Source organism: Homo sapiens, chromosome 7 (genome assembly GCF_000001405.40).
Source record: "Homo sapiens chromosome 7, GRCh38.p14 Primary Assembly".
Classification (NCBI taxonomy): domain Eukaryota; kingdom Metazoa; phylum Chordata; class Mammalia; order Primates; family Hominidae; genus Homo; species Homo sapiens.
The window spans coordinates 107838739-107851876 of record NC_000007.14 but is presented as its reverse complement, the minus strand read 5'-3'; the positions used below and the strand labels follow the sequence as shown (position 1 = coordinate 107851876).

Here is a 13138-nt window from a genome sequence, read left to right as displayed (position 1 = left end):
TGTTGTTGTTATTGTTGTTGTTTTGTTTGAGACAGTCTTGCTCTGTCACCCAGGCTGGAGTGCAGTGACATGATCTTGGCTCACTGCAACCTCCGCCTCCCAGGTTCAAGCAATTCTTGTGCCTCAGCCTCCCAAGTAGCTGAGATTACAGACGCCCACCACCACGCCTGGCTAATTTTTTGGGTTTTTTTTTTTTTTTGTATTTTTAGTAGAAATGGGGTTTCACCATGTTGGCCAGGCTGGTCTCCAACTCCCGACCTCAGATGGTCTGCCCGACTCAGCCTCCCAAAGTGCTGGGATTACCGGCATAAGCCACCACACCCAGCCTAAAATGGTAAATCTTATGTATATTTTACCACAATTTAAAAACAAAACAAAACAGAGTCTCAGGTGTAAAAGTTTCCAGTTCACTGGCCCTTTCCTGTTGCTGAAGACCACCTGGCTTTCTATTAGTCCAGGGCCTTCGCTTGCTCTTCTGTCTTCCTGGAATACTATTTACCAGCACTTCACATAAATGGCTCCTTCTTAACAGGCAGATGTCAGCTTGAGTTTCTCTTTCTCCAGTCTGAATCACTTTACTCTGTTCATAACTTATTTATGCTTCATCGGCGCCCCTCACTAGAATGTAAACTTGAAAGTTCCATCTGTTTTATTCCCTAGTACATAGAACAGTCTGACCCTAAGTCAGTGCCCAATAAATAGTTATTGAATGACTGGCACTTAGAGCATCAGTGAATGCTCTCTATAAACCGACCTTATTGACGTCCAGTGCAAAAACTCACGACTATGCCTCTGTTTTCTTGAGTATAAAGATGCATCCTTATACTCTCTCCTCCTCATCCTCACCTTTCAATTTTCCCAGCCCTAATTCCAGTTTAACATCATTTAAGTGAGTAATACTAAGCTTCTAGACATGGACCTCACCCATGTTAAAGTTCATTTGGTCCACACCCACCATACTGCCCTACCCATACTGGAGAGGTTGGGGTTTTAGAGTCGGGGAAGTGATTTGAAAGGTGAAAAAGTCAAACATCCCAGTCCATGGGGCCTCATGGAAAGATTCCAGAGTGGAATGATGAAATGGCAAGTTTTCCTGCATAGTTACATTTCATTACAGTCATCAGCTGGAGTAAGGCTCACTTCTGGATGTGATAGGCCCAGGAAGGAAAAATACAAGTAGGAAAAACCAGGAGCCATCTGAACTGGTCTCCATTCCAGCTTCTGCTCTCACAGCAATGATGTCTTCGATGCTGACATGCTCACATCCCCTAGAGCAGTACATTTCCAAGCACGGGGCTCCACTGCCCACAGATGCACCCAAGATCTGGGGGCTGGCTGTGGAAGACCTGGGGTGATCCAAAAACCTCTATGTTACTGGGAAATGTTTGTGTCAAGTGAGCCCAGGTCTAGCCTTTCAGATGTTAATGGAAGGAAGTTGCATCTGTCTACTGCCAGCAGCTGTTAATCCAACGACCACAATCCCCAAGCACCCTATGTAAGGCCAGATCTGATCTGCCATGCGTGATAAATGGTGGGCAACAGGAGTGCAAAATAACATATATATACACATAAATATATATGTATACACACACACACACACACACACACACACACATATATATATATATATATTTTTTTTTTTTTGGAGACGGAGTCTTGCTCTGTCACCCAGGCTGGAGTGCAGTGGCATGATCTCGGCTCACTGCAACCTCCGCCTCCAGGGTTCAAGCAATTCTCCAGCCTCAGCCTCCCAAGTAGCTGGGACTACAGGCACACGCTGCCATGCCTGGCTAATTTTTTTGTATTTTTAGTAGAGACGGGGTTTCACCATGTTGCCCAGGCTGGTTTCGAACTCCTGAGCTCAGGCAATCTGCCTGTCTTGGCCTCCCAAAGTGCTAGGATTACAGGCGTGAGCCACCGCACCCAGCTGCAAAATAACTTATATTTATTACAGTATGCCTTTTTCTAACATAGGGGCTTTACTTGACCTCATTTAATTTACCTGTAATCTTTACTCCATTCTTCAGCTGTAGACTACAAATCCCCTCTGGCCAGCCATGATACAAATACAGGTTCTGTGACACATGGAGTATTGGGAAAGATATGAGTTCAAATGTATCAGTCTTGGAAAAACTATTCAAGACGCAGATTAGAGAAAGTAGTTGACAACACATTTATTTATTTATGTATGTATTTATTAGCATAGTAAAGAATGGTACATAAGGAAAAGAATATGTGTTTTGGATGATTTTGTCCTAAGAAGTGGGGTTACTCAATAAGTTTATTCACATGTGCCCCTTCCCATAACCACCACTTCATCTCCCTTAATCTTTTTTGTTTTCTCCATGAATCAGGTTGCTGTGACTATCAAAAGAAGTGGGAACTCCTTTGAAGTTTTGATAAAGTAGCCAAAGAGAGAAAAGAAGTCTACTATTCAAAAATAAAAGCAGGCCAGGTGCGGTGGCTCTCACCTGTGATCCCAGCACTTTGGGAGGCTGAGGCAAGTAGATCCCTTGAGTCCAGGAGTTCAAGACCAATCTGGGCAACATGGCAAAACCCCGGTCTCTACAGAAAATTAAAAAATTAACTGGGCATGGTGGTGTGTGCCTGTAGTCTTGACTGCTTGGGAGGCTGAGGTGGAAGGATGGCTTGATCCCAGGAAGTCAAGGCTGTAGTGAGCTGAGATCACACCCTGCTCTCCAGCCTGGGTGACAGAGCAAGACCCTGTCTCAAAAAATAATAAAATAAAATAAAATTAAATTAAATTTAAAAGTGTTGTTTATACCTCCTCAACAACTCCAACTGAGCCTTCTCCAGTTACTATTTTTTTTTTTTATTGATCATTCTTGGGTGTTTCTCACAGAGGGGGATTTGGCAGGGTCATAGGACAATAGTGGAGGGAAGGTCAGCAGAAAACCAAGTGAACAAAGGTCTCTGGTTTTCCTAGGCAGAGGACCCTGGGGCCTTCCGCAGTGTTTGTGTCCCTGGGTACTTGAGATTAGGGAGTGGTGATGACTCTTAACGAGCATGCTGCCTTCAAGCATCTGTTTAACAAAGCACATCTTGCACCGCCCTTAATCCATTTAACCCTGAGTGGACACAGCACATGTTTCAGAGAGCACCGGGTTGGGGGTAAGGTCATAGATCAACAGCATCCCAAGGCAGAAGAATTTTTCTTAGTACAGAACAGAATGGAGTCTCCTATGTCTACTTCTTTCTACACAGACACAGCAACAATCTGATTTCTCTGTCTTTTCCCCACATTTCCCCCTTTTCTATTAGACAAAACCGCCATCGTCATCATGGCCCGTTCTCAATGAGCTGTTGGGTACACCTCCCAGATGAGGTGGCGGCCGGGCAGAGGGGCTCCTCACTTCCCAGAAGGGGCGGCTGGGCAGAGGCGTCCCCCACCTCCGGGACGGGGCGGTGGCCGGGCGGAGGCGCCCCCACCTCCCTCCAGGACGGGGCGGCTGGCCGGGCGGGGGCTGACTCCCCACCTCCCTCCCGGACGGGGCGGCTGCCGGGCGGAGACGCTCCTCACCTCCCAGACGGGGTGGCTGCCAGGTGGAGGGGCTCCTCACTTCTCAGACGGGGCAGCTGCCGGGCGGAGGGGCTCCTCACTTCTCAGACGGGGCGGCCGGGCAGAGACGCTCCTCACCTCCCAGACGGGGTCGCGGCCAGGCAGAGGCGCTCCTCACATCCCAGACGGGGCGGCGGGGCAGAGGCACTCCCCACGTCTCAGACGATGGGCTGCCAGGCAGAGGCGCTCCTCACTTCCTAGATGGGATGGCGGCCGGGCAGAGACGCTCCTCACTTCCCAGACCGGGCAGCCGGGCAGAGGGGCTCCCCACATCCCAGACAATGGGCGGCCAGGCAGAGACGCCCCTCACCTCCCAGAGGGGGTGGCGGCCGGGCAGAGGCTGCAATCTCGGCACTTTGGGAGGCCAAGGCAGGCGGCTGGGAGGTGGAGGTTGTAGCGAGCCGAGATCACGCCACTGCACTCCAGCCTGGGCAACATTGAGCACTGAGTGAACTAGACTCCCTCTGCAATCCCGGCACCTCGGGAGGCCGAGGCTGGCAGATCACTCCCGGTTAGGAGCTGGAGACCAGCCCGGCCAACACAGCGAAACCCCGTCTCCACCAAAAAAACACGAAAACCAGTCAGGCGTGGAGGCGCGCGCCTGCAATAGCAGGCACTCGGCAGGTCGAGGCAGGAGAATCAGGCAGGGAGGCTGCAGCGAGCACAGATGGCAGCAGTACAGTCCAGCTTGGGCTCGGCACCAGAGGGAGACCGTGGAAAGAGGGAGAGGGGAGAGGGGAGAGGGGAGAGGGGAGAGGGGAGAGGGGAGTGGGGAGAGGGGAGAGGGGAGAGGGGGAGGGGGAGGGAAAGGGAGAGGGAGGGGGAGGGAAAGGGAGAGGGAGAGGGAGAGCCTTCTCCAGTTCTATCAACTGGAGGATTATGCTCTCCAGCTGCAGTTGAGCAAGACTCCTCAAGTGCAACACCATGGAAACAGCCCACTCTTCTTTTCACAGTTTTGAAAAATAGCACAAGTATGTGTACAGTGAGAGATGTGTGCAGAAGTTGTACATGTGAATGAGTAGGTTTCTGTGTGTGTGTGTTTGTTTGTTTGAGACAGGTCTCACTCTGCTTACCCAGGCTGGAGTACAGTGGTACAATCTCAGCTCACCGCAGCCTCTACCTCCCAGGCTCAAGCCATCCTCCCACCCCTGCCCCACAAGTAGCTGGGACTACAGGTGCACACCACCATGCCTCGCTAAATTTTGTATTTTTTTGTAGAGATGGGGTCTCGCCATGTTGCCCAGGGTGGTCTTGAACTCCAAGACAACGAATTTTTTATCTTAATGTAGTTTGGAGTGGTCAGTTAGTTTGTCTTTCAAGCATAATTTAAAGTGGCTATTTAAGTGTTTCAATGATTGAGTTATTTAAATGGAAAACATAATAAAATCACTCTTATTTGAGATTTCTCTAATAAGAGTTGTTGAATTAAAAAAATGTCAGTTTTTATGGTTACTTGGGTGTCATTCTCATTTTTGGATTAATACATAGGTATGGATAATGTATCTGTATACATATAATGGTATATTGCAAACGGACTTTCCGAGGTGATTAGGGTTAAGGTCCTTGAGATGAGGAGATTATCTTGGATTACCTAGGCTAGCCCAATTTAATTACATGAGTTCTTAAAATTAGAAAACAGAAAAAAGTAGGTCAGAGAGAAGCAATATGAGAAGGATGTGATCTGCCATGGTTGGCCTTGAAGATGAAGGAAAAGACCACAAATCAAGAAATGTGGGCAGCTTCTAGAAATTGGAAAGGGGAAGGAAACAGATTGTTCCCTAGAGCCTTCAGAGAGGAACATAGCCATGTCAGCACCTTGATTTTAGCCTAGTGAGAACTGTGTCAAACTTCTTACATACAAAGCTGTAAGATAATATATCTGTGTTGTTTTAAACCACTAGTTGTGGTAATTCACACTTCAGAAAGAAAATTAATAAAGCTAGCAATTTCAATAATGGCATTCCAAATATCTTTATCTGTCAAACTGGAGGAACAAGTGGAAAATATAAAAGATTTTAGTGGTCCAAAAAAAGAAATCCTCTGCATCCTTGTCATCTAAATCAGCTAGTTTTAAATTTCATATTCCCTTCTCCCTATATCTACGGATTCTTGGAAAAGACAAAAGCTCTAGGGACAGAAAACAGATCAGTGGTTGCCAGAAGCTAGGGGTGAAGGAGAAAGTTTGCAACTACAAAATAGAATTTTTCCAGGTGATAGAACCATTCTGTATCTTGATTGTGGTGGTAACTACACCGCTGTGTATGACTGTCAAAACTCACAGAATTACTAGGGGGTGTAATAGCTACAGAAGGAAAAAAATCATTATCATAGCTATCATTAACTGTGAGCTCTTGCTTTTACCATGCACTGTACTGAGTACTACAACTCTTGTCACATTATATTCCCACATTAACTTCCATGAAGAAACTGAGCCTTTAAAAGTAAAGAAAATTACCCAACACGACTAGTAGAGATGGGCAGAACCAAGACTGGGATCCAAGTTCCTGTGACTCCAAAGCCTATACAGTTAACAATGACCATAAGTTTGGTTAATCCAGTTTACCCCAGAGCTTTGTGTATTTCCTCTAGCCCTACCATTGCCATAAAGGTAGCAGGACAAGTGGCTCTAGATCTGTCCTGTAGGACGAGCATACACCTTAGATTTTTCCAGAACTGTCTTGCTAATTTAAAATATTGTCTCTTTGTTTTCAAAAAATTGCCACAATGTCCTAGAAATTCAAATGTTTCCTCAAAATGGTAAGTGAATAAACATTGTAATAAAATATACAGAGTCCCTCAAAATCATTTTTAAATCATATTTCCTTATTTGTGATTCAGATAATATGACCCAGATACCACTATGTCACTTAGTCCCTTAGACATGTCATGGTAATTTGATGTCTATTGTATCCACTAAATTCCACCCTCCTAGGGAGGCTAATTTATGTAGCATAAAGTGGAGGGTAAGTTGAGCAATAATCCAGTTCATGTGATCCGTAGGGCACCTCAAACTGGATGGCAACTCCAGATACACAGTTTAGGAGCTAGTTCCCCAGCATAGGACATTTCAGTGCACAGGCATTCAAGATGTATATTTGAAGCCACACAATTGTCACCCTAGAGACTCCCAAACAGCATAGCTGAGTCCTCAAGCTGCCAAGATCTGCTCTCCAATTACAGGTACTTATGGTACTTATGCAGGGCCTGGGCCATCAAATTCCAGTCTCCTGGGCTGCACTACTCATCTGTCTTAGTCTGACCCTGAACCATGTGGCTGGAGCAGCCCAAAGTACCACCTGCCAGGCTGGCACCCTATGCCTACTGGCACCCTAAGCCTACTGCAAACCAGGCCAGGACTCAGGGGTGGCTGAGCCAGAAGCAGGGGAACTTCGGCTCCTACTATCTGCTTTCAGTTTGTGATCCTGTTTCCATTTCTTCTACTGTTATTCACACAATATGTTGCATTCTCTACCCATCTCCAGACAGCATAGAATTCAATGCAATATTCACTTCTGGACTGGAGTCTATGCCGTCAGGAAACGGGTAAAGAATGTAACATATTGTGTGAATAACAGTAGAAGAAATTAAAATGGGATCATAAACTGAAAACAGATGGTACCAGCTGAAGGTCCCTTGCTTCTGCCAATCCAGAAGTGAAAGTTGCAGGCCAGGCACAGTGGTTCACGCCTGTAATCCCAGTGCTTTGGGAGGCCCGAAGCTGGCGGATCACTTGAGGTCAGGAGGTCGAGACCAGCCTGGCCAACATGGTGAAACCCCTTCTCTACTAAAAATACAAAAATTAGCCAGGCGTGGTGGCAGGAGCCTGTAATCTCATCTACGAGGGAGACTGAGGCAGGAGAATCCCTTGAACCAGGGAGGTGGATGTTGCAGTGAGCCGAGATCACACCACTGCACTCCAGCCTGGGCAACAGAGCAAGACTCCATCTCAAAAAAAAAAAAAAAAAAAGAAAAGAAAGAGAGAAGCGAATGTTGCAAATTTAATAAATAAGAGATACAGAAAAGAAAGGAAATCTTAATTACCTTTAAAACAAACCAAACAAAAAAGATTTGTGCTAACTGGATTTGTTCCAGTGCTAACCTGAACTTTATACATTAATGGTGGGAATGCAAATTGATACAGCCATTTTGGAAAACAGTTTGGCACTTTTTAAATAAAGTTAAATATATGTTACCATATGACACAGCAATCCCACTCCTAAATATTTAGCCTAGAAAAATAAAAATATATGCACACACACACACACACACAATACAAATACTGATACTGACTTTACTCATCATTGCCAAAAAACAAAAACAACCCAGTGCCCTTCAACAGGAGGCTGATACAATACATCCATACACTGAAATATTAATTAGTTAGCAAATAAAAAGGCCCAAACTACTGATACACACAGGGCATAGATAAATCTCTAAGTGAAAGAAGTTAGACTCAAAAAGCACTCTGTAATATATGATTTCATTTATATGAAATTCTTGGAAAAGGCAAAAGCTCTAGGAACAGAAAACAGATCAGTGGTTGCCAGAAGTTGGGGGCAGAGGACAGAGTTTGCAACTACAAAATGGAATTTTTCTGGGTGAGGCAAACATTCTGTATCTCGATTGTTGTGGTAACTGCAACACTGTATATGACTGTCAAAACTCATAGAACTGTACAATAAAATACCTCAATTTTATTGTGTGTAAATTACATCCCTAAGCAATCTGTGATCATAAGTATCTTATGATCTTCATAAGACAAAGGCAAACCCCATTCTTAGCTCTTGTAAAAACCATTTTGGATCCGCGTGATCCACATGACTAAAGGAACACTGCCGCTTTTGGTATTTTCATGTGACAGTTGATTGGAGGTCAGTGACGTCATTCCGCGCTCACTCACCGCAATCTGCTTAGGTGGCCTCGCTCAATCCCAAACAGTCGCGTGTCCCACCACCGCCCCTCTGCCCATGCGCTCCACCTGCTGCGGCTGCTCTTTCTGGCTCCTCGCCTGGGTGGTGTCCTTGTACCTGCGGGTCTCTGCTGAAATCACCTCCTGAAAGGGGTGCTACCTCATTTTCCCAAGCTAGATTGCGTGCCCACTGTTTTTCTCTATCACCATGCCCCGTTTGTGTGCTTCACTGATCACGGTCTTCAGCTTTTTCTCGTGTGTTCATTGATAGACCTGTTTATTGCCTATATTTTCCTGGAGATGGAAGCCCTGTAAAAGCAAGCACCATTTTTGCCTTGTCTCTGGTTGTATCCCTAACACTCAGCACAGTTGCTAGACAGAGTAGGTGCTCAGTAAATGTTTGTTAAACCAAGGAGACTGGAGGCCTTGTCTAGAGTAAGCAGACCAAATCTACGGCAGCCTAAGTTGACCAAGCATTGAGGTTATCTTTAAAACCTGCAGTCGCTATCCCCCAGCCATTAAGACACAGTGGTGTCTGTACCTTGTTGAGCTGCACTGAAACCCAAGATGTGCGAAATAATATTCACAGATGCATTTCTCCTCCAAGTTGGAAGACTGCTGGGGTGAGTTCCATGGGGTTTGGATGGAACCAAATCGTGTCCATCATACACTGAGACAAACAATTATATCACAAGATCTGTGTATGTTCACAATACCTTTGCCCTATGTAATACTGCAGGATGAATGCAAACACCTCTAAAATATGAAAGAATTGGTTTGATCAATACATTATGCAACACTTCTCAGTCAGTAAATAATTAATAAGTTAAAGCTTTTCCTAATGAATGTTATTTAAAAAGATAATTTCCTATTTAAATCATAGTCCAAGACTCAAATATTGATTTCTTCTCTGGTAATTATAGGCCAAATGTTTAAATTGTAGTCTTATCTGTTAACTAAGTATTTTTTCCCTCGTCATCAAAAACTACATCCATAGGAACCACCAAACTGAACATTTCTTACTCAGGATTCTCTTAAACATATGTCACTAATTTTTTTTCTTTTTTCTTTTATTGTACTTTAAGTTCTAGGGTACACGTGCACAACGTGCAGGTTTGTTACATATGTATACATGTGCCATGTTGGTGTGCTGCACCCATTAACTCATCATTTACATTAGGTATATCTCCTAATGCTGTCCCTCCCCACTCCCCCCACCCCACAACAGGCCCCAGTGTGTGATGTTCCCCTTTCTGTGTCCAAGTGTTCTCATTGTTCAATTCCCACCTATGAGTGAGAACATGCGGTGTTTGGTTTTTTTGTCCTTCCAATAGTTTGCTGAGAATGCTGGTTTCCAGCTTCACCCATGTCCCTACAAAGGACATGAATGTATCCTTTTTTATGGCTGCATAGCATTCCATGGTATATATGTGCCACATTTTCTTAATCCAGTCTATCATTGATGGACATTTGAGTTGGTTCCAAGTCTTTGCTATTGTGAATAGTGCCACAAAAAACATACGTGTGCATGTGTCTTTATAGCAGCATGATTTATAATCCTTTGGGTATATACCCAGTAATGGGATGGCTGGGTCAAATAGTATTTCTAGTTCTAGATCCTTGAGGAATTGCCACACTGCTTTCCACAATGGTTGAACTAGTTTACAGTCCCACCAACAGTGTAAAAGTGTTCCTATTTCTCCACATCCTCTCCAGGACCTGTTGTTTCCTGACTTTTTAATGATTGCCATTCTAACTGGTGTGAGAATGGTATCTCATTGTGGTTTTGATTTGCATTTCTCTGATGGCCAGTGATGATGACCATTTTTTCATGTGTCTGTTGGCTGCATAAATGTCTTCTTTTGAGAAGTGTCTGTTCATATCCTTCACCCACTTTTTGATGGGGTTGTTTTTTTCTTGTAAATTTGTTTGAGTTCATTGTAGATTCTGGATATTAGCCCTTTGTCAGATGAGTAGATTGCAAAAATTTTCTCCCATTCTGTAGGTTGCCTGTTCACTCCGATGGTAGTTTCTTTTGCTGTGCAGAAGCTCTTTAGTTTAATTAGATCCCATTTGTCAATTTTGGCTTTTGTTGCCATTGCTTTTGATGTTTTAGACATGAAGTCCTTGCCCATGCCTATGTCCTGAATGGTGTTGCCTAGGTTTTCTTCTAGGGTTTTTATGGTTTTAGGTCTAATGTTTAAGTCTTTAATCCATCTTGAATTAATTTTTGTATAAGGTGTAAGGAAGGGACCCAGTTTCAGTTTCTACATATGGCTAGCCAGTTTTCCCAACACCATTTATTAAATAGGGAATCCTTTCCCCATTGCTTGTTTTTCTCAGGTTTGTCAAAGATCAGATGGTTGTAGAAGTGTGGTATTATTTCTGAGGGCTCTATTCTGTTCCATTGGTCTATATCTCTGTTTTGGTACCATTACCATGCTGTTTTGGTTACTGTAGCCTTGTAGTATAGTTTGAAGTAAGGTAGCATGATGCCTTCAGCTTTGTTCTTTTGGCTTAGGATTGACTTGGCAATGCGGGCTCCTTTTTGGTTCCATATGAACTTTAAAGTAGTTTTTTCCAATTCTGTAAAGAAAGTCATTGGTAGCTTGATGGGGATGGCATTGAATCTATAAATTACCTTGGGCAGTATGGCCATTTTCACGATACTGACCATACTGATTCTTTCTATCCATGAGCACGGAATGTTCTTCCATTTGTTTGTGTCCTCTTTCATTTCACTGAGCAGTGGCTTGTAGTTTTCCTTGAAGAGGTCCTTCACATCCCTTGTAAGTTGGATTCCTAGGTATTTTATTCTCTTTGAAGCAATTGTGAATGGGAGTTCACTTATGATTTGGCTCTCTGTTTGTCTGTTATTGGTGTATAAGAATGCTTGTGATTTTTTTTTGAGATGGAGTCTCCCTCTGTCACTCAGGCTGGAGTCCAGTGGCTCCATCTTGGGTCACTGCAAGCTCCGCCTCCCGGGTTCCCACCATTCTCCTGCCTCAGCCTCCCGAATAGCTGGGAATACAGGCAACTGCCACCACGCCTAGCTAATTTTTAGCCAGGATGGTCTCGATCTCCTGACCTTGTGATCCGCCCGCCTCGGCCTCCCAAAGTGTGGGATTACAGGTATGAGCCACTGCGCCCGGCCATCATTAATTTTTTTGGAGTGCAGTCTTTGTATCTCCTGTTTTCTCTGCCTGGAACACTCTTCCCACATCTCCTCGTGGCTTACTCCTTCACTTCCCACCAGACTTGGTTCAAAGATCACCATATTAAAGACCCATCACTGATCATGCAATATAAAATCACATCCATCATCTTCCCCTCCCCATACTCTGCATTCCTCTTTCCCGCTTCACTTATATCCATAGCGCTTATCTCCATCTGCCATTAGTAAATGTAACTTATTTGTTTTGTTTACCTGATGTCTGCTTTCACTGGAATATAAACTTAAGGAGATCAAAGATGGTTTTTTAAACTCTTTTATTTACTATTATATCTCTAGGGCCTAAAACAGTGCCTGGCACACAGTAGGAGATCACTAAATATGTGCCGGATGAATATTTAACAGATTGATGCAATTTATTATATCAATCACTTAATACAAAATTAATGGCAATCATCATATCCTGTGTCCGATCCCGCCTGGACAATATTCATTTGTTTCTCAGTTAGCTCTTGTTGGCAGGTGGCCATTCAGTGCTCAGGAGCTGCAAGGGTTTCAGGGGAAACTAACATTTCTTGGGTGCTCTTGAGCTATGGACAATCACTAAGTATTTCTCTGAAATTCTCAGCACAAACCAAGCAAGTATCAGGTGGAGGCAACACGATGGAAATACCACTGTCCTGGGCTTCAGGACTCTATATCTCTGTGGTGTCAGCCCAGTCACTTAACTCTCTGAGCCTCAATTGCCTCAACTGTAAAATGGAGGCAGTATTTGCCCTCCCTCCCTTATCAGGCTGAAGTGTGGGTGAAATGAGAAGTCTTTCCCCACTTCCCTATTACTCACTGCTTACCCTACCCTCTGGGTCCTACTCTGCTGCAGAAGTCTTATCAACTCACCAGAGCTAATTGGCATTCATGGACTAATGCACATGAGTTAAAAAAAATTAATGGAGATTGTAGGGAGCTCTTGGGCTTATTCTGAAAGAACAATTTCAGACAAACTATGAAGGTAAGAATTTCAGCCAAAGTATGAAGCAGAGTATGGAGGTGGCAGTTCATTTTTTAGGGGGTGATGTTCCTTTTGACATACACTAAATAGGACTTCAGACTGATCGAGGAAAAAATAGCTACAGGCTCTGGAGAATTATTGATTGGATTTTACAATTCAGGAAATGTCCTGAGCACCTGCTGTGTACCTGGTACTTGGTGAACTGGTGGCTCCAGCCAGTTACCTTACGTCAGCTACACGTGCATGTTCTCTGATGTGCCCCTTCCATCATTGCCTTGCTACAAACTAGCAAAACACAAGGCACCTAGGAGAGAAACCCCTTCCCCGCTCCTCAACAAACCCTCAATGTTGTCTGTAGATCAGGGATGTGCAATCTTTTGGCTTCCCTGGGCCACATTAGAAGAAGAAGAATGGTCTTGGGCCACACATAAAATACACTAACACTAATGATAGCCAGTGAGCTAAAAA

The 13138-nt window shown here is 44.3% G+C and overlaps 3 annotated features.

The window, feature by feature from the left end:
- Nucleotides 3451-3601: a silencer, noted in NCBI's record as "fragment chr7:107488721-107488871 (GRCh37/hg19 assembly coordinates)". NCBI's record gives its function as "represses an EF-1alpha promoter that drives an FKBP-Casp9 reporter gene in an ReSE screen in HepG2 liver carcinoma cells {active_cell/tissue: HepG2}" and the evidence as "EXISTENCE:reporter gene assay evidence [ECO:0000049][PMID:32094911]".
- Nucleotides 3451-4195: a biological region, named in NCBI's record as "H3K27ac hESC enhancer GRCh37_chr7:107488127-107488847".
- Nucleotides 3475-4195: an enhancer, noted in NCBI's record as "H3K27ac hESC enhancer chr7:107488127-107488847 (GRCh37/hg19 assembly coordinates)". NCBI's record gives its function as "activates a minimal SCP1, AML or CMV promoter by ChIP-STARR-seq in primed H9 embryonic stem cells {active_cell/tissue: H9 hESC(primed)}" and the evidence as "EXISTENCE:reporter gene assay evidence [ECO:0000049][PMID:30033119]".